Source organism: Homo sapiens, chromosome 11, assembly GCF_000001405.40.
Source record: "Homo sapiens chromosome 11, GRCh38.p14 Primary Assembly".
In the NCBI taxonomy this organism is placed as follows: domain Eukaryota; kingdom Metazoa; phylum Chordata; class Mammalia; order Primates; family Hominidae; genus Homo; species Homo sapiens.
In genome coordinates this window covers 111748414-111767766 of record NC_000011.10, presented here as the reverse complement: position 1 = coordinate 111767766, position 19353 = coordinate 111748414, and the positions used below count along the sequence as shown (strand labels likewise).

Genomic DNA, 19353 nt, shown 5'->3' with positions numbered 1-19353 from the left:
TTATTTATTTATTTATTCATTATTTCATTCATTCATTCAAAGGCTCTATTGTGCTTACTTCCAAGAACGCTATTTATTTATTTATTTATTTTAGAGACGGGGTCTCACTCTGCCGCCCAGATTGGAGTACAGTGGTGCGATCCTGGCTCACTGCAACCTCTGCCTCCCGGGCTCAAGCGATTCTCATGTCAGCCTCCCGAGTAGCTGGGACTACAGGCTCCCGTCACCAGCCCAGCTAATTTTTGTATTTTTTAGTGGAGACAGGGTTTCACCAAGTTGGCCAGGCTGGTCTCGAACTCCTGGCCTCAAGTGATCCGCCCGCCTCGGCCTCAGAATCCCATGTTTTAAAAAAGTTTGTCTCCTACACTGCATTTATAGTTTTATTAATCAGGCACATAGAATTACCATTTCGGAGCTTGTGATCACCATATGTAGTTATCACTCCAAGCTGCTTAAATTCCAGTCTAAAACAAACAAAACATTCTAATTATTCTGTGCTACCCTGACAGGGGTAAGTGAAAACTTTCCATTCAGGTTTGTAAGAACGAGCTCCCAGACCTCCACCTCTTCCCCTTGCTGCCTCTGAGGACTCTTGGAGGTCTAGGGAGGCCAGTTTGGGTTTTCTTGCTCAAGAAAGTAGCCACCCCACCCAATTTGGAAGGATTAAAGCTTGTCCTAGTTTTGCTTCATTGTTGTACTTCTAGCATGCTAAAGAGCTAAAAAATGGGAGGAAGAAAATACAACAGAAGGCACCATTCCAGTACCAAACTGAAAAGAAACACAAAAACAAGAGAGCAGCATGTTTTTAACAGCTTGCGTGGAAAAAATATTGACTGGGGAGTTTGGACAGCACTGTTCATTTTCTCTCACCGCCCGCGTTATTTGTCTTACGGAGCAGGAGCCAGATACCATTCTGGAGAAAGAGCCGCGGGAAGAGGTGGAGGGGTTCTGTGGAAGTTTGAGTCTGAGCGGAGAAATTAGGGCTGGAGATCCAGTGGCTCAGGGCCAGGAAGAAGTCAGGGGAGGTGCTAAAGCCTTTTTCCTCCTGGCCTCGGGCACTCTCTTTGGTCCGCCTGAGTCTTAAGAGGGCACAGCGCAGATCATTCAGGTAGGTTCCTGGCTCCTTCAGACTACAACGAGCTGGATGAATCCCTGTCCCTGTTTCTTTCGGCTGGGGAAAGGACGCAGGGGTTCCATTCGCTTTCTTAGCCCACCCGTCTTCTTGAGTTCAGACCTACAACTCCTGCAGTGGGGGTCAGAAGGGAGCCTTAATCATCGGGACAGAAACGCGGCTCCCCAACTTCGGCTAAACCAGCGTGGCGGCCTTCGTCCCTACTGCCTGGGCGCGGGGCGGGGCCTGGGCGCGGGGCGGGAGGCGGTGACCAGCAGCAGGAGGAGAAAGAACATGGCGGGCGCATCAGAGCTCGGGACCGGCCCAGGAGCAGCGGGTGGAGATGGAGATGATTCGCTATACCCGATCGCGGTTTTAATCGACGAGCTCCGCAATGAAGACGTGCAGGTACTGGACTGAGGCCGGGGACCCGAGGCGAGACCGGCTGGTCGCGTGGTAGAGAAGGGGGAAGGCCTGCGTCGCGGTGGGGGTGGCCGAGGTACTGAATGAGTCGGACTCGTAGCAGAAACTTGAAGGGGAGGCGGGGAATGCTCCGCGAGGGGCTGTGGTGACACGCCCCGACCCTCCCGGGTACCTCTCTAGTAACCTTGCTTCGGACCCCCTGAGGCGTCCGCCCGGAGCCTTGCCCTTCCCGGGCGGTTGTCGGGGAACCCGCTTCCCGCCTGGGCGCCCCATCCGGGCCGTGAGGTGGCCGCGTCTCTTGGGCGAGGGAGCAGGAGAAGCGCGGTGCCAGGCCGAGACGGGGCTGGAGCGGCTGAGGGGCGCAGGATGCCCAGAAGCCCTTTGAAGTGCCCCTGGATCCCTTCATCTCGGCTTGGAACTGGCTCGGCTTGTTGGGTAGAAAGCGGGGGTGGGATGGCCGATTAATCTGGACGAGTAGTGTATCCGCTCTGTGGGAACTTTTCTTTGAAACCACAGGTGTTGTATTCAACCGTTTCACCTGCTTCACCACTGCCAAAGTGCTCTCTTTTTAAAATTATCTTACTTCCTAGGTGTTGTATTGTCTTTCCTTCATTTCTCTTCCGGTCCCTTCTGAGTGTTTCTCCTGGGAAATCCTCCGCCGGCTAGTGAGGCCGAGTTACACTTCTTTTTGGAAGTCCTTATGAGCTTCCTTAACAGTAAAATCTAAATGAAAGGTTATCTTCATTCTTACCCCTGTGTCATAATTTCACCTGTTAGCACCTTTTGTCTTTTGATCTAAATTCAGCCGTTTCTTTACATTGTTCTTCTTTCTACTTTCTTTTCTGAAGCTCCGACTCAACAGTATTAAGAAGTTATCAACAATTGCCCTAGCACTTGGAGTAGAAAGGACCCGAAGTGAATTGTTGCCATTTCTTACAGGTATGTGAATCTTTGTTTAAAGAAAGGTAGGGACATTCCATTTTCCAGTAGCTTTCAACACTGACTTTTTTAGAGTTTATTACCCACATTAAAATGAGCCAGGTGTTTTTTGTGCAAAAGAAACAGAACAGAGTATATTGTTAGTTGTGGCTAGATATATTCAAACATCAACCATTTAGCTATTGAAAGTAATTGATACGGGAGTATGAATTTCTAATTCGTTGTGCAAAGCAGATACAGGAAGACGGTTGAGAAGAAAGAAAATGCTGTTAGGATTTTGACTGGGTCACCTTCCTGGTCGCATAGTGAATCTGTTCCTAGTTTTGTGTCAGTGTCCAGCTGTGGGAGAGCTATCCATGTTGATGAGTCCTGTTGTTGTCACTTCCAGATACAATTTATGATGAAGATGAGGTACTATTAGCTCTTGCTGAGCAGCTGGGAAATTTCACTGGCCTAGTGGGAGGTCCTGACTTTGCCCACTGTCTGCTGGTGAGTATTTATAAGCTGCCTACCCTCCTTCTACAACTTTTGCAGTATAAATGATACATTGTTTGGTGATAGACACACTGCAGCATTTTTTATGCAGATCTTTTTATGGGCAGATAGTCATAATGTTAGTCATTGAGAGAATAAGTACTGTAGGCACTTTGCACTCAACTCCTTTTTTTTTTTTCTGTAAATAAGAGAACTTCGTCCTCCTTTTCTGCGTCTGTAGACTTATTAGTTTAGATGTAGGGAGAAAAAGGGTTTGATTGTTTTTATGGTTCCCCCGCGCGATGGTGGAAGTTTTAATTCTCACCTAGCAGCATTTTGTCTTTGTCAGTTTAACTTTTGCTTCTGACTTTGTGAGTTTGATGAATTTAGTTCAATTTAATTGACATTTATTGAGAGTCTACTTTATCAGACACATCATAGTTTACAATGTTAATGTTGAAGAAGACCAATGTGAGGGGGCTTGGTGGCACAAGCCTGTAGTACCAGCTACTCAGGAGGCTGAGACTGGAGGATCACTTGAGCCCAGGAGTTTGAATCCAGCCTGGGCAACATAGTGAGACCCCCATCTCTTAAAAAAAAAAAAAGACCACCAAAATGAATCTAATGAGGTCACTGCCTTTATGTGTCAGCAAATAATTACCGTGCAGTCGTAAATGGAAAGATATAAGTACCCACAAAATACCCACGTAATAGAAGGGAGAAAGGGATTCACTCCGGGTGATCAGGGAAGACCTTGGGAGATGATGTCTGAACTAGGTTTTAAAGGATGACCAGGAATTCAACAGTTGGACAAGGTAGGGGTGTATGTGTCAGAGCTTTGAATACTGGGTATGTAATACTGATTCTTGTGATTTCTGTCTCTAGTTCTGACTTTTCCATGGAACTCCTGAGGTAGATTGATTAATAGATAAGTATGAATATATATATATAGAGAGAGAGAGAGAGAGAGAGTTTTTTTTCTGTCTATGTATATAGGCCTATGCTTTTTTCTACTTGTATGTCAAACAGGTATTTCAAACTTAACATACCCAAAACAAAACTTAGCTTTATCCCCCAAATACACCTCTCATTTAGTTGTTCCACTTCAGTAAATGGTATCACTATCTTCCCACTTGCACAAGCCAAAACCTAGAATGTATTCTTGAATCCTCTGTGCCTTGTTCCACACATCTAATCCATTAGTAATTCCTATAGAGTCTACGTATATTTCAAATAAGTCCACTTTCTTCCATCCCTCCTATTACCAGCCTAGTCCAGACTGTCATCTTTCCTCTAGATTGCTGTAGTAGCTTCCTAGCAATGCTTTCCACTCTTGCCTCTCACCCGACTCTTACAGTTCACATCACCCAGCAGATGGCTCACTCTCTGCTATAGCTCTTAGAAAATCCAAATTCTGTACCTTAGCTTACAAGGCTTTTTATGACCCGCCTCTGTAGGATTATCATATGCCCAGTGGTACTGCATGAGAAGAGGTGACAGTAGGCAGGGAACAGACTGCAAAAGGCCTTGATAACCTCTTCCATTCACATTGGTCATCTTTCTGTTTTTTGAACTAACCAAGCTCATTATTCCCTTAGGACCTTTGCCCTAGGTCTTCCCTCTAATGAAAAGCTCTTTCAAGCTTTCTGTGGCTGGCTCCTTGTCATTCAGGGATCAACTTCAATGCATCTCCTCAGGGAGGTTTTCCCCAACCACTCAACTTAAAATAGCCTCACAGTCATCCCTTACTACATCATCCTACTCCTTTTTTCTATAGAGTACTCATCACCATCTACTTATTTTCTTGATTGATTGTTGTCTTACTCCATTAGAATGTAAATGCCACTAGAGTGAGGAACCTTGTCTGCCTTGTTTCTTCTGTGTCCTCAATGCTAGAATATACCAATAATAATGTATTGAAAAAATGAGTTTCAGAGGCTTGGAAGCATGAAACAGGCTGGGTTCAAAACTGCCGGAGTGTGGCTGGGTGTGGTGGCTCACACCTGTAATCCTTGCCTTGGGAGGCCAAAGCAGCAGGAGGATTGCTTGAGGCCAGGAGTTCAAGATCAGCCTGGGCAACATAGTGAGACCCCAACACTTAAAAAAAAATAGCTGGGCATGATGTCATGTGTCTGAGTCCTAGCTATTCGGGACGCTGAGGCAGAAGGACGAGGAGTCTGAGGCCGCACTGAGCCATGATTGTGCCACTGCACTTCAGCCTGGGCAACAGAGCAAGACCCTGTCTCTTAAAAAAAAAAAAAAAAAAGAACTGCTGGAGTGTGAAGTGTTGAGGCTGGGTAGGCAGAGTGGTCATCAAGGGCCAGGCAGAGTTCAAATCAAGAGACCACTCATAAGCAATTCTCAGGAGCATGGCCTCATCCTGTAGTAATGATAGCTATTATCCAGTGGTACTGCACGAGAGGGGGTTACAGTAGGCAGGGGACAGATCATGAAATGCATTGGCAAGTGAGAAACAGTATCTTTTCAATGAGTTTCTGAAATACCTTCTAGGAAAGCTGAATACTGTCTACCTGTGTGTATCAAACAATTTTTAAAATATATTATTAGACACACTTCTTTTCTTTAACTCATTATGCTTCTGTTTCACTCTTGGTTAGTTCTATATGTGGGTTTTATGCTTTAAAATCTGTAGCTCATGGCATGTGTAGAATCTACCTGGACTACATGCAAACTCAGTAAGGCAGAGGTTCAGAGAGCCAGCCTGTTTACACTTTTTACTAGGCCATGCCATATTCAGTTACTGCTCTTAATCCAGACCATCCACCCCATTTGGCTTCTTTTATTTCTAAAGCTGTAAGCAAGGTGTCCTACCATCTCTGTACTTTACCTTTTTTTTTTGAGACAAGAGCCTCACTCTGTCACCCAGGCTCAAGTACAGTGGCACAATCTCGGCTCACTGCAACCTCTGCCTCCCGGGTTCAAGTGATTCTCATGCCTCAGCCTCCTGAGTAAGCTGGGTTTACAGGCGTGTGCCACCATGTCTGGCTAATTTTTGTATTTTTTGTAGAGACAGGGTTCCACCATGTTGGCCAGGCTGGTCTCGAGCTCCTGACCTCAAGTGATCTGCCCACCTCGGCCTCCCGACGGCTGGGATTACAGGTGTGAGCCACCGTGCCTGGCCAGTCTCTGTAGTTTTCACTTGATTGTTCTGTCAGAAACTCCTTTCTGCCCTATGGCTAATGGAAAGTTGCTGAATGTGTTCTGAAAAAAGCAATTTTGCATTCAGCATTTTATAGGTTGGATAAAAGGATGGGATGGAGATGGTGGATAAGGGTTGCTTGCACCTCTGGGAATGGTGGAAAGATACTGAAAAGGCTGTGGACTCAGTGACCTGACAAGCTGTTATCCTGTATTTGTGGTGCCTAACATTGGTCATAGTTTTGTACTTACTCTTGAGGAAATATACATGATCCTGTCTGAATTTGGCTATGTATCTTTTAAACCTAGTGATTCAACTCACAGTAATATTAATATTGTGTCAAGTCTTTTACACTGTGTCATTTGTAGACACCATCTGGGAATTGCCATCTGGGACACGAGATCTTGGCTTTTCTACAGAAGTCGTGTCTTTGGGTTGGCCGCACCATATGTTATCACTGTGTGAGCTGAAAGTAACCATTTGGTATGATGCAGCTAACATTCTGGTTACGTGTACCACCTCCCTTCAGTCACTTTAAAAGGTGATTATCTGTTTCTAACCTGATTCAATAAGTTTTCTTCTCTGGTTTTCCTTTTTAATCCATTCAGCCTCCTTTGGAAAATCTGGCAACTGTGGAAGAGACTGTTGTTCGTGACAAGGCTGTGGAGTCCCTGAGACAGATCTCCCAGGAGCATACTCCTGTTGCTCTGGAAGCTTATTTTGTACCTCTGGTGAAACGCTTAGCAAGTGGGGATTGGTTCACCTCTCGCACATCTGCATGTGGTTTGTTCAGCGTTTGCTATCCCAGGGCATCAAATGCTGTTAAAGCAGAAATCAGACAGTAAGCCATGGTATTTTTTTGCCTTGTTAAAGCAGAAATCAGGTAGTAAGCTATGAGTTATTTGGGATTACTGGGGACTTGTAGCTGACAATTTACATAGTACCTTGTTACCAATGAGTGGCTGATACTAGGATAGTAGGATTTATGACATCTTTCTTTTTTTTTTTTAAGAGATAAGGTCTTGCTCTGTTGTCTAGGCTGGAGTGCGGTGGCACAATCATAGCTCACTGCAACCTTGAACTCTTGTGCTTAAGTGATCCTCCAGCCTCAGCCTCCAAGTAGCTAGGACTACCGACATACACTACTGCGCCTGGCTAATTTTTAAAAAAAATTTCTGGCTGGATGCAGTGGCTCATGCTTGTAATCCCAGCACTTTGAGAGGCTGAGGTGGGAGGATTGCTTGAACTCAGGAGTTCAAGACCAGCTTGAGCAACATAGTGAGACCTTGTCTCTACTAAAAAGAAAAAAATTAGCTGGGCATGGTGGGACCCGCCTGTATTTCTAGCTACTCAGAAGGCTGAGGTGGGAGTTCACTTGAGCCCCCGACAAACAACAACAAAAATATTTTTGGCATATAGATAGGGTCTTGCTATGTTGCCCAGTCTGCTTTCAATTCCTGGCCTCAAGCAGTCCTCCTACCTGGGCCTCCCAAAGTGCTTTGATTACAGGTGTGAGGCACCATGCCTGGCCTATGATGTCATTTTTTATTATCCAGTTGAATATGTTTTATTTTTGTTACTTCTATAAGTAGAAGCTTAGTCACTGATTATTGTAAGATAAAACCTCTAAAAGTCTGTCTGTGTGTATGGGGGGCAGGTTTATTCAGTGTTATTTGATGGGAAATACCTTCATTGTTTTATGTTGCAGGCAATTCCGTTCCTTGTGCTCAGATGACACACCAATGGTACGACGTGCTGCTGCTTCCAAATTGGGTGAATTTGCAAAAGTTTTGGAATTAGACAGTGTGAAAAGTGAAATTGTTCCACTGTTCACTAGTCTAGCTTCAGATGAACAGGTAAACTAACTCTTAGTATTTAAGGGACACAGATATGCTCCTTTCCTCTAAATTTTCAGAATTTCTTTGGGGAGTTTTAGTTTTCTTGTTAGGATTCTTTTTACAGAATTAGTGCTGATTCTGGCCTGGTTAAAGTGTAACATGCTTATCTCAATGTTCTTATGTTTCTTTCTTAACCAGACCATGATTTCTCTCTTACATTAGCAGCTGTTAAAAGAGTGGGGAGTCAGAGAGGAAATGGGAGCCATAATTAGAAAGGAAGACCAAAGCTGCATGGAGGGTAACATACCTTTGGGAATTGCTGGCTGTATTGTAATATGAGGGAGTAATGTTTCCTGGAATTTTTGACTTTTCAGATAAATAAGCTTAGAATGTGTTAGGAAAGCTATTTGACTCTCTGCTTCTTCTATAGTAGTGTATGGGATTACTTCACATAATCGTATTCAATTCTGAAGATCTAGATCTCTTTGGTGTAGAAATAACAATAAAACTAGCAAACATCCAAATGAAGTACTTAATTTTTCTCTGCCTTTAAGTAGTTATGTGTATTAAGTAATTCAGTCCTTACAACAGCCCCATGAGATAGCCCATTTTACACATTAGAAAACAAAGGCACAGAAAGTTTAAGTAACTTGCTGAAGTTTGCATAGTTAGCAGTAGTGGAGTCAGAATTTGAATCTAGGTGGTTTGGCTCCAGAATTTGTGCCCTTCACAGCTAGGCTGTCCCGCTTCTCTGTAATGGTGCTTAATAGGATCAGCTCCCAGAGTTCCTGGACTCTAGAATAGTCCTTTTGGGCTTTTAATTTGCATGTTGCCTGCCCTAAGATCGCTTCATGTGTACAGGACCACAAGCCCCAGGACACATATTAATGAGTCTCATTTTCAGATCCTAAATCTAAAGATCTAAATCCTACTTTGAAAATAATTTTAAAAATTATTAGAATTTTTATTCTAATAATAAATGTACAAAATGAATGTATAACTTAATGAACTATTAGAAGGTAATACCAACTTGTTAACGATCACCTATGATAGGAGACATCACTTTGACAGCCACTATCCCAGAATCCCTCCATGGATTCCCTTTCAAACACAATCTCTCTTTCCTCCTCCACTTGCCACTCCATTTCCTTAAGAGTAACATTATCCTGACTTTTATGGTAAGCGCAGCCTTTGTTTTCTTTGCACTTTTTCTTTTCTTTTCTTTTCTTTTTTTAAAAGGAGTCTCACTCTGTCACCAGGCTGGAGTGCAGTGGTGCAATCTCGGCTTTCTGCAACCTCTGCCTCCCGGGTTCAAGCAATTCTCCTGCCTCAGCCTCCCAAGAAGCTAGGACTACAGGCGCATGCCACCACGCCAAGCTAACTTTTGTATTTTTAGTAGAGACGGGGTTTCACCATGTTGACCAGGATGGTCTCCATCTCTTGACCTTGTGATCCGCCCACCTTGGCCTCCCAAAGTGCTGGGATTACAGGCGTGAGCCACCGTGCCCGGCCTTCTTTGCACTTTTATTACCTAAATGTTATAGTTTAAAACAGTGCTTTACAACAGAAATATAATGTAAGCTACCTGTTGATTTTAAGTTTTCTACTGGCCATGTTTTTATAAGAAAAAAGAAATAGGTGAAATTAACAATATTTGTATTCGACCAAAATTTTCCAAAATCTTATTATTTGAGTGTAAATAACGTGTACCAGCCACATTTCAAGTCTCAGCATGAGATGATGTTGTTAATAGGGTGGTAGTGAAGATGGAAAGGATTTGGATGTCAGTTTGGAAGTGGGATCAATAGGTTAGTATTATTGGATTGGATCAGTGGGAGAGGAATCAAGATCTCCTAGATTTTTTGCTTGAGCAACTGGGTGGATGATGGTGTCATCGTTAAGATAGAGAAAATTCTGGGAAGAGGAACAGGTGTAGGAGAGAAAACGAAGTTCTGGAAGAGAAGTAATTTTTTTTTTTTTTTTTTTGAGATGGAGTTTCACTCCTGTCGCCCAGGCTGGAGTACAATGGCATGATCCCAGCTCACTGCAACCCCTGCCTCCCGGGTTCAAGTGATTCTCCTGCCTCAGCTTCCTGAGTAGCTGGAATTACAGGCGCCTGCCACCATGACTGGCTAATTTTTTGTATTTTCAGTACAGATGGGGTTTCACTGTGTTGGGTAGGCTGGTCTCGAACTCCTGACCTTGTGATCTGTCCGCCTTGGCCTCCCAAAGTGCTGGGATTACAGGTGTGAGCCACTGCACCAGACCAGAGAAGTAATTTTTTAACAAATATGTATTAGCTTATATTTCAGTAGTTGATTAGCAGTCCCATGATTTAGCATCATTTTCGAAATTCAAAAATATCTGTGTAGTCACTACCAAGAACTTAGTCCTGTCTTTTTTAGCCTGTGCACCTGCATACAGAGGAATGTGTGTGTCTTTGGCATATAGTCAGTTATTGTTGATACACAGTTTCTAAGATTTGTAATATTTTGGAAGTTGGAGTCACTGTTATGTCTCTCAAGTATGTGTATACGTATATACATAACTGTTATTGTACACACTTAAAATTTTTTACCTATTTCTCCTGGGTGCTAATGTTTACATGTATTAAGATTCTACCTTATATATGTATAATACACAAATCTACAGTCTCAATTTCTAATTTCTCATTGATGTTTCTTTTTTTTCGGTGTTTTTTTTTTTTTGAGTTGGAGTTTTGCTCTGTCACCCAGGCTGGAGTGCAGTGGCGCGATCTCGGCTCACTGCAGCCTCTGCCTCCTGGGTTCAAGCAATTCTGCTGCCTCAGCCACCTGAGTAGCTGGGATTACAGGCACGTGCCACCATGCCTGGCTAATTTTTGTATTGTTAGTAGAGATGGGGTTTCACCATGTTGGCCAGGCTGGTGTTGAACTCTTGACCTCAGGTGATCCGCCTGCCTCGGCCTCCCAAAGTGCTGGGATTACAGGCATGAGCCACTGTGCCTGGCCCCTCACTGATTTGTCTTGTATATTTTCCACTTGTTCAAAGGACGTAGGTGTCACGTTGACATTGGCTGTTTACATTTGGAAAGTTGAGTTCATTAATCCCATACTTTTCTAATTTCTGTGTTTTTCTAGCCACAGCTTCCTCAAAGTTATTCTGTCCTTGATCTTCGACATTTAAATCCAACTGATTTTTGTTTTTGATTTCTAACTTTTAATTGTTCTGTGTATTTCTTTCCAAGTCATTATCTTATGCTGCCTACACTCCTGTTACTGCGACCCTGATCTGAGTTTTTTGAAAACTAAGCTTTCTAAGTGATTTCCTTTACTCTTACTCTTACCTTTGTCCTAATCTGTTATAAATAACTTGTACAAATATTGTTTTCATTTTTATCCCTCAACTTTCTGTTATAGTAAGGCTTTGAAGGCATCATTAAAATGTTTTTTTTTTCTTTTTTACTTAATTTTAAAATTTTCATTTCCTTTATAGAAACTCTGCATTCTAGCCAAGGTAATTACTTTGCTGTTTACTCATAGTACAAAGTCATTTCTATCTTTATGACTTTGACATGCCATTCCAGGCAAAGGGAGCAGCTCTTTCTTTTTTTTTTTTTCCTTTTTGTTTTTTGAGACAGAGTGTCACTCTGTCGCCCAGACTGGAGTGCAGTGGTGCAGTCTCGGCTCACTGCAAGCTCCGCCTGCTGGGTTCACGCCATTCGCCTGCCTCAGCCTCCCGAGTAGCTGGGACTACAGGCACCCGCCACCACGCCTGGCTAATTTTTTTTGTATTTTTAGTAGAGATGGGGTTTCACCGTGTTAGCTAGGATGGTTTCCCTCTCCTGACCTCGTGATCCGCCTGCCTCAGCCTCCCAGAGTGCTGGTATTACAGACGTGAGCCACTGGGCCCGGCCGGGAGCAGCTCTTTCAAGATATAAATACACGGCCAGGCGCAGTGGCTCGCGCTTGTAATCCCAGCACCCAGCACTTTGGGAGGCCGAGGCAGGTGGATCATTTGAGGTCAGGAGTTTGAAACCAGGCTGGCCAACGTGGTGAAACTCTGTCTCTACTAAAAATACAAAAATTAGCTGGGCGTGGTGGCTCCTGCCTGTAATCCCAGCTACTCGGGAGGCTGAGGCAGGAGAATCACTTGAGCCTGGGAGGCGGATGTTGGAATGAGCGGAGATTGTGCCACTGCACTCCAATCTGGGTGACAGAGTGAGACCCTGCCTCAAAAAAAAAAAAAAAAAGAAAAAGATGTCAAGACGTGAAACTATATAAGGTGTGGCAGTCTTGGTGGTGTTAATTTTTTTAAACACCTGCACCACCCCACAGCAGTTCCCCATGGGTCTCAGTAAATGTCTGAATTACAGAAATTTTGTTCCTTTAGGATTCAGTGCGCCTCCTTGCTGTGGAAGCTTGTGTCAGTATTGCCCAGTTATTGTCTCAGGATGACCTTGAGACTTTGGTGATGCCTACACTTCGACAAGCAGCAGAAGATAAATCTTGGCGCGTTCGCTATATGGTGGCTGACAGATTTTCAGAGGTAAAGTGATCATTTTTAAGTACTAAGGAAATAAACCTGAAAACACATAGATTTGCTGTTGTACCCAAAGTTTCTGAATTAATTCTTTTCAATGGGAAGTGCTGTGGCAAAAATATGTATTTACAGATTGCACAATTTTGTTTTGTTCTTGTTAATTCTTTTGTTAGTATACATTAAAACCCGTTCAAATTCTTTTATAGCTCCAGAAAGCCATGGGTCCTAAAATCACCCTAAATGACCTCATCCCCGCCTTTCAGAACCTACTTAAAGACTGTGAAGCTGAAGTCCGGGCAGCTGCTGCCCACAAAGTAAAAGGTTAAGGAGTTCAATTTATGTTGGAACATGTGTCATTCATTTTGGTGCATTTTTTTGTTAGTCAATTTTGCATGTTTTTTGTTCTAGAATATGTTTTTAAAATACATAGGGATGTTTTTAGTGTGTGGAAATGTTACATTGTCACTTAAAGATAGTCTCTTTATATTTAAAACCAAGAAATCATTTTGTCTTGTTTTTGTAAAAAAAAAAATGCCTTTCAGGTTGGATTGGTGTGATATGCAATGGCATAGAGAGTTCACGAAAAAGTTTATTTAGAACAAGAGCTGTTTTCCTTATTTGCTTAAACATATAATTTAATTGAAATTATTGATAAACCTGGTTAAATGTCCTCATTTGGCTCTTTGTAAATGGCCCTGTGAAAGCATTCTTTTTTTCTATTTATCTTTTAGAACTTGGTGAGAACTTGCCCATTGAAGATAGAGAGACCATAATTATGAATCAAATTCTGCCTTATATAAAGGTAAACCTGACTTTATTTTGTTTCACTCTCTTTTATATGAAGGTAAACCTTAATCTCATTATTTTTGTTTGTTTGTTTACCTTAAAGCTCTTTGAGTTTAAAGGTTGACAGGGAATGAATGGGGAAGATGTGTTAATGTGCAACATTGTTATTCATCACTTATTAGCCCATTGTAATTGTAAACTGCTCTTTGGTGCATAGGTTTATGTTACCTAACAAGTAGTCTGAGGAAACATTATCAACTAATCAGTATTGAAATAGTGCTGTCTTTAAATTCCTTGGGGTCAGGCATGGTGGTACATGCCTGTAATCCAAGCACTTTGGGACGCTGAGGTGGGAGGATTTCTTGAGCCCAGGAGTTTGAGACCAGCCTGGGCAACATAGTGAGACCCCATTGCTACAAAAAATACAAAAATTAGTTGAGCCTGGTGGCATGCACCTGTAGTACCAGCTACTTGGGAGTCTGAGGTGGGAGGATTGCTTGAGCCCAGGAGGTTGAGATGGCAGTGAGCTATGATCATGCCACTGTACTCCAGCCTAGGTGACAGGGTGAGACACTGTCTCAAAAAAAAAAAAATTAGGCCAGGCGTGGTGGCTCACACCTGTAATCCCAGCGCTTTGAGAGGCCAAGGTAAGAGGATTGCATGAACCCAGGAGTTCAAGACCAGCCCTGGCAATGTAGTAAGAACCTGTCTCTGCAAAAAATGAAAAAAATTAGCCAGGCCTGGTGGTGCATGTCTGTAGACCCAGCTACTCTGGAGGCTGAAGTGCTTGAGCCTGGGAGGGTGAGGCTGCAGTGAGCCAAGGTCATGCCACTGCACTCCAGCCTGGGCAACAGAGCAAGACTCTGTTTCCCAGAATAATGGTATGGAAGTTTCTGTTGTCTTGTAATAAAGGCTTTTAATTTCGATTTTATTTTAGGAATTAGTATCCGATACCAATCAACATGTCAAATCGGCTCTAGCTTCTGTAATTATGGGATTGTCTACTATTTTGGGCAAAGAAAATACCATTGAACATCTTCTACCTCTTTTCTTAGCTCAGTTAAAGGATGAGGTGGGTCTTGCTTTATGTTCTGTTGCCTTTGATAGTAATTTGATTTTATTTGATTTTGGTTTAGGGTTTCATTAAAATAGAACCCCCAAAAAGAAAATGGATAAAAAAATCATAACTTATTTTAAACCAATGACACCTGTGATTTTGGGTATGGGGTTATAGGTTCCTCAGAAAGTGGGCAAAAGTACCCATTAGAGTAAACCTAGAAATATCTGTTTATCATCTTTACCTGATTTTTGCTTTATACTCCCTGGTTTCTTTAAAGCTAATGTGTCTTTGTTTAAAAAGTTTCATTTATTTAAGTTTAAATATAGTATCAAAAATTATAATGATACCTAATATTTACTGAGTAATTACTACATGGCAAGCATGAGCCTTAGTGCTTTGCATGTATTTTTACATGCAATTCTCACAACAATCCTGTGAGGTAGGTCTTATTATTATCCCTTTTTGTTTGTTTGTTTGTTTGTTTTGTTTTTTGAGACGGAGTCTTGCTCTGTCGCCCAGGCTGGAGTGCAGTGGCGCAATCTCTGCTCACTGCAAGCTCCGCCTCCTGAGTTGATGCCATTCTCTTGCCTCAGCCTCCTGAGTAGCTGGGACTACAGGCGCCTGCCACAGCACCCAGCTAATTTTTTGTATTTTTAGTAGAGACGGGGTTTCACTGTGGTCTCGATCTCCTGACCTCGTGATCTGCCCGTCTCGGCCTCCCAAAGTGCTGGGATTACAGGTGTGAGCCACCGCACCCGGCCAATTATCCCATTTTACAGATGAGAAAGCTGAGGCATAGAGGGTTAAAGTAACTTGAGCAAGGTCTTTCAACAATGACAGATCTGAAATTTGAGTGCATCTGATTTAGTTCCAGAGATTATGCTCTTTACCATCTTACGGACTTTTCTTGTAGTCTTTAGTATTACGGACTTTTAATTGAAATTTCTGATTAAGATCATTTATGTTCCTTGAGTTATTTATGTATTCACTATTATTTCTTCAAGATTATCCATTTTTTTTTCACCTGAGTCTTACCTCACCTTTTATCTTACCCTGACAGGAGACTGTTGGGCAGAGTACTTGATTTTTAAATGTGGTCTTTTGGGGCTTGTGTACTTGCAGTGTCCTGACGTTCGTTTGAATATCATCTCCAATTTGGATTGTGTAAATGAAGTGATTGGAATCCGTCAGCTCTCTCAGTCTCTCCTTCCTGCCATAGTGGAGCTGGCAGAAGATGCCAAATGGAGGGTCCGCCTGGCCATCATTGAGTATATGCCGCTGCTGGCAGGCCAGCTGGTGAGTATGTGTTGCTCCATGAACTGCAGGGTAGTGTCAGATAGTGACAATTTACCATGGCAAGTAGGAGGCCTAGTAGCCTGTATGCTTATGTTTGTTTAGATGCATGAAAGTATGGCCTTGTTCTTGTTACCTATAGGATGGTTTTTATGTTTGTTAGTGCATACGTTTCTTTTCTTTTAAGATGGAGTTTCACTGTTGTTGCCCAGGCTGGAGTGCAATGATGCAATCTTGGCTCACTGCAACCTCCACCTCCTGGGTTTAAGCGATTCTCCTGTCTCAGCCTCCCAAGTAGCTGGGATTACAGGAATATGCCACCACACCCAGCTAATTTTGTATTTTTAATAGAGATGGGGTTTTACCATGTTGGTCAGGCTGGTCTTGAATTCCTGACCTCAGGTGATTCACCCGCCTCAGCCTCCCAAAGTGCTGGGATTCCAGGCGTGAGCCACTGCATCTGGCCTATTAGTGCATACATTTCTAACAAAAAGGTATAGGTTGAGTATCCCTCATCTAAATACGCTTGGGACCAGCATGTTTGGGACCAGAAGTGGATTTTGGAATATTTGCATTATAAATATTTACTGGTTGAGCAGCCCAAATTCAAAAATGCAAAGTCCAGAATGCTCCAATGAGCATTTCCTTTGAGCATCATATCAGTGCTCAAAAAGTTTTGGATTTTGGAGCATTTCACATTTTGGATTTTTGGATTTGGGATGCTTAATCTGTATTACAGAAACATATTTCACCTCATCACCACCGAAAAACAAAGCCATAGAATAATCAGTTTCTTGGTATATATAATGTAAATTTTATAATATTTAATGCCTTTGTGACTTAAGAAATGTTTAACTGAGAAGAAAAGGGATTATGGTTTTAGGGTAAGTCTGCTGTGATTTTTGCTCAAGGAAACTTCCCTGTTTGCCTTGTATTCTAAGCAAAATGTCCCTAGGTACCACTTGCCCTACATTCTGATTAAAGGGAGTTGAGGAATCACCATATAGAAAAGAAGTATTGAAAGGCCGGGCACAGTGGCTGACACCTGTAAACCCAGCACTTTGGGAGCCAGAGGCAGGCGAATCACTTGAGGCTAGGAGTTCCAGACCAGCCTGGCCAACATGGTGAAACCCCATCTCTACTAAAAATACAAAAATTAGCTGGGCACGGAGGTGCACACCTGTAATACCAGCTACTCGGGAGGCTGAGGCAGGAGAATCGCTTGAACCCAGGAGGCGAAGGCTGCAGTGAGCCAAGATTGCACTACTGCACTGCAGCCTGGGCAACAGAGTAAAACTTTGTGTCAAAAAAAAAAAAACAAAACAAAAACAAAAACTGAAGCTTGTAATGTTAGTATTTTGGTCAAAGTCCACATTATCACATTATCTGTTACTGTTTGAGTTTCGTGATCAGTGTTACCCTAACTAATACCATGTTAGTTAAAATTTCAAAGCTGGGTTTTATAGCCACATCCTTTCCTTTTTTTGAGTAGGTGGCCTAGACAGTTCTAAGTTTGATGTACCTTCATCTCTGTTGGTAGCACTTATTACAGAGTATTGTAATTGTCTGTTACAGTCTAGTTGGAGAGATGGGTGATCTCTTTTAGGGCAGGGACTGTATTTTATTTCCAGTCCCTACCATAGTGCCCGTCATTAATTAGGCACTTAACATTTTTTATTTTGGGGGCAGGGTCTTGCTGTTGCCCAGGCTGGTCTTGAACTCATGGCCTCAAATGATCCTCCTGCCTCGGCCTCCTGAGTAGCTGATAATAGGCATGAGCCACTGTGTATAGCCAACATTTGTTGATTGTTGAGTATTTTTTGAGAAAGATGTGTCAGTTTACTATTGACATCGCTACAGTTTGTTTCCCCTTCCTCACTCCCACTTCCATTCCTTTCAGGTCACAACATATGGAATTTATTTTTTCTTGTCTTGAACCCCTGAATTTGTATTTTTAATTTTAGTACATTTAGTTTATGAACATGCAATTTGTGGATGTCTGTGGCATTATATGTTTTATAAAATTGAAAGTGTCCGATTCTTTGAAAAGTATACCAGAGGTATTAGTGCATGGCAAATGGGATCAGGTGAAGTTATTTTGTCATCCTTTTTGTCTGTCACTCCCAAGTGCTATGGGTCATCTTCTCTTCACTGGTGATTGTCATGGATCTACTTTTCAGAGTGGAGAGGAGCAGTGATTAACTGATTTGCTGAAGACCAAAACTATCTGGAAGGGAGGGTGCATTTTAGTACCATTTCTTTTAACCTCTGCTCCTTCTAGACCTGGAAAGTTTCCCAGGGTTGCTAGCTCTATAGAGAGCAGTGTGAAAGCAAGGCAGATGGTGTCTTTGGCTGACTTACACCTGTCTGGCAGGGGTGACATGCCTCAGTCATGAACATTTTGCTTTACAATTTTAACTTCTTGTTAGTATATATATTCTCCTTAATTTCTCTTCATATCTAAATATTTTTATATCAGATAGTCATTTTATAAAATTCTCTCAAGACTTTATGTATGACCTGGCTTGTGGACGATGTTAAGTAAGTGTAAAGTTAAACTACAAAAACCGGAAAATAGGCCAGGCGTAGTGGCTCACGCTTGTAATCCCAGCACTTTGGGAGGCCTAGGTGGGTGGATCACCTGAGGTCAGGAGTTTGAGCCCAGCCTGACCAACATGGTGAAACCCCATCTCTACTATACAAAAAATTTAGCCGGGTGTGGTGGTGGGTGCCTGTTACTTGGGAGGCTTCTTGGGAGGCTGAGGCAGGAGAATTGCTTGAACCCAGGAGGCGGAGGTTGTAGTGAGCTGACATTGCACCACTGTACTCCAGCCTGGGCGACAGAGAGAGATTCCGTCTCGACAACAACAACAACAACAACAACAAACTGGAAAATAAAAGTTAATTAAAACTGAAGGAAAATTCTCAACCTGAAATGAAAAAGAAATCTTGGCTGACGTAATCTAAGTGTATGCCAAAATTTGTTCATTATGATCTTTTAGTACAAAGCAATTTTGGGCCAGGTGCGGTGGCTCATGCCTGTAATCCCAGCACTTTGGGAGGCTGAGGCGGACGGATCATCTGAGTCAGGAGTTAAGAGACCAGCCTGGCCAACATGGTGAAACCCTGTCTCTACTAAAAATACAAAATTAGCTGGGCATGTGCTGCATATCTGTAATCCCAGCTACTTGAGAGGCTGAGGCAGGAGAATCACTTGAACCCGGGAGGTGGAGGTTGCAGTGAGCTGAGATTGTGCCACTGTACTCCAGCCTGGGCAATAGAGTGAGACTCCATCTCAAAAAAAAAAAGCTATTTTGTCTTATTCAATCACTATTTTCAAAGCACTGACACATTATATTACCTCTCTTTTTTTAAAATATAGAATCACCAGTCAGGAACTTCTTAGAGTTCAAAGAAGCAAGACTGTAAATGTGTAGACCCCAGAAGGGAGGCACTAGGAAAGTGTGTCACAGCATTCTCCATGTGGTGTGGAAGCCCCGGGGTTAGAGGACTGTGTAAATCTGCTCCCGGAGCCCATCCCCAGCCTGCACTGAAGTGGCCACCTGTTGACAGTCGGGAGGAACAGGGCTGGGAGAGCAAGCCATGCCTGGGCCATATGCCCTGTAGTCCTGGGCCTGCTTTATTCTCCCTCCAGGGCTTTCTCCTGTTGTCTCGAAAATACTCTCTTTAACTGGGGATATCTCTATGTCTTGAGGTCAGTTGCTTTATCCTTAAGGATTTGTCATAA

The 19353-nt window shown here is 42.8% G+C and overlaps 1 protein-coding gene across 15 annotated transcripts in view, besides 4 other annotated features; it reads left to right on the top strand.

The window, feature by feature from the left end:
- Positions 1313–1362: an enhancer, noted in NCBI's record as "active region_5519". NCBI's record gives its function as "activates an Ori minimal core promoter by ATAC-STARR-seq in GM12878 lymphoblastoid cells {active_cell/tissue: GM12878}" and the evidence as "EXISTENCE:reporter gene assay evidence [ECO:0000049][PMID:35858748]".
- The window catches only part of PPP2R1B (protein phosphatase 2 scaffold subunit Abeta), a 78390-nt gene continuing 60414 nt past the window's right edge, over positions 1378–19353 (top strand). For 10 of the 15 annotated variants that reach the window (XM_047427193.1, XM_047427194.1, XM_047427195.1 and 7 more), the window contains exons 1-10: positions 1378–1519; positions 2383–2473; positions 2862–2962; positions 6716–6948; positions 7816–7963; positions 12317–12472; positions 12673–12787; positions 13198–13268; positions 14190–14324; positions 15435–15608. In XM_047427193.1, the coding sequence (XP_047283149.1) occupies positions 1406–1519; positions 2383–2473; positions 2862–2962; positions 6716–6948; positions 7816–7963; positions 12317–12472; positions 12673–12787; positions 13198–13268; positions 14190–14324; positions 15435–15608 (1338 nt within the window). In that variant the 5' untranslated portion in view covers positions 1378–1405. The remainder of the gene's footprint in view (positions 1520–2382; positions 2474–2861; positions 2963–6715; positions 6949–7815; positions 7964–12316; positions 12473–12672; positions 12788–13197; positions 13269–14189; positions 14325–15434; positions 15609–19353) is intronic. The other 5 variants (XM_024448600.2, XM_017017960.2, NM_001177562.2 and 2 more) reach the window with 3 other exon arrangements.
- Positions 1383–1562: an enhancer, noted in NCBI's record as "active region_5518". NCBI's record gives its function as "activates an Ori minimal core promoter by ATAC-STARR-seq in GM12878 lymphoblastoid cells {active_cell/tissue: GM12878}" and the evidence as "EXISTENCE:reporter gene assay evidence [ECO:0000049][PMID:35858748]".
- Positions 1383–2352: a biological region, named in NCBI's record as "OCT4-NANOG-H3K27ac hESC enhancer GRCh37_chr11:111636139-111637042".
- Positions 1449–2352: an enhancer, noted in NCBI's record as "OCT4-NANOG-H3K27ac hESC enhancer chr11:111636139-111637042 (GRCh37/hg19 assembly coordinates)". NCBI's record gives its function as "activates a minimal SCP1, AML or CMV promoter by ChIP-STARR-seq in naive H9 embryonic stem cells {active_cell/tissue: H9 hESC(naive)}" and the evidence as "EXISTENCE:reporter gene assay evidence [ECO:0000049][PMID:30033119]".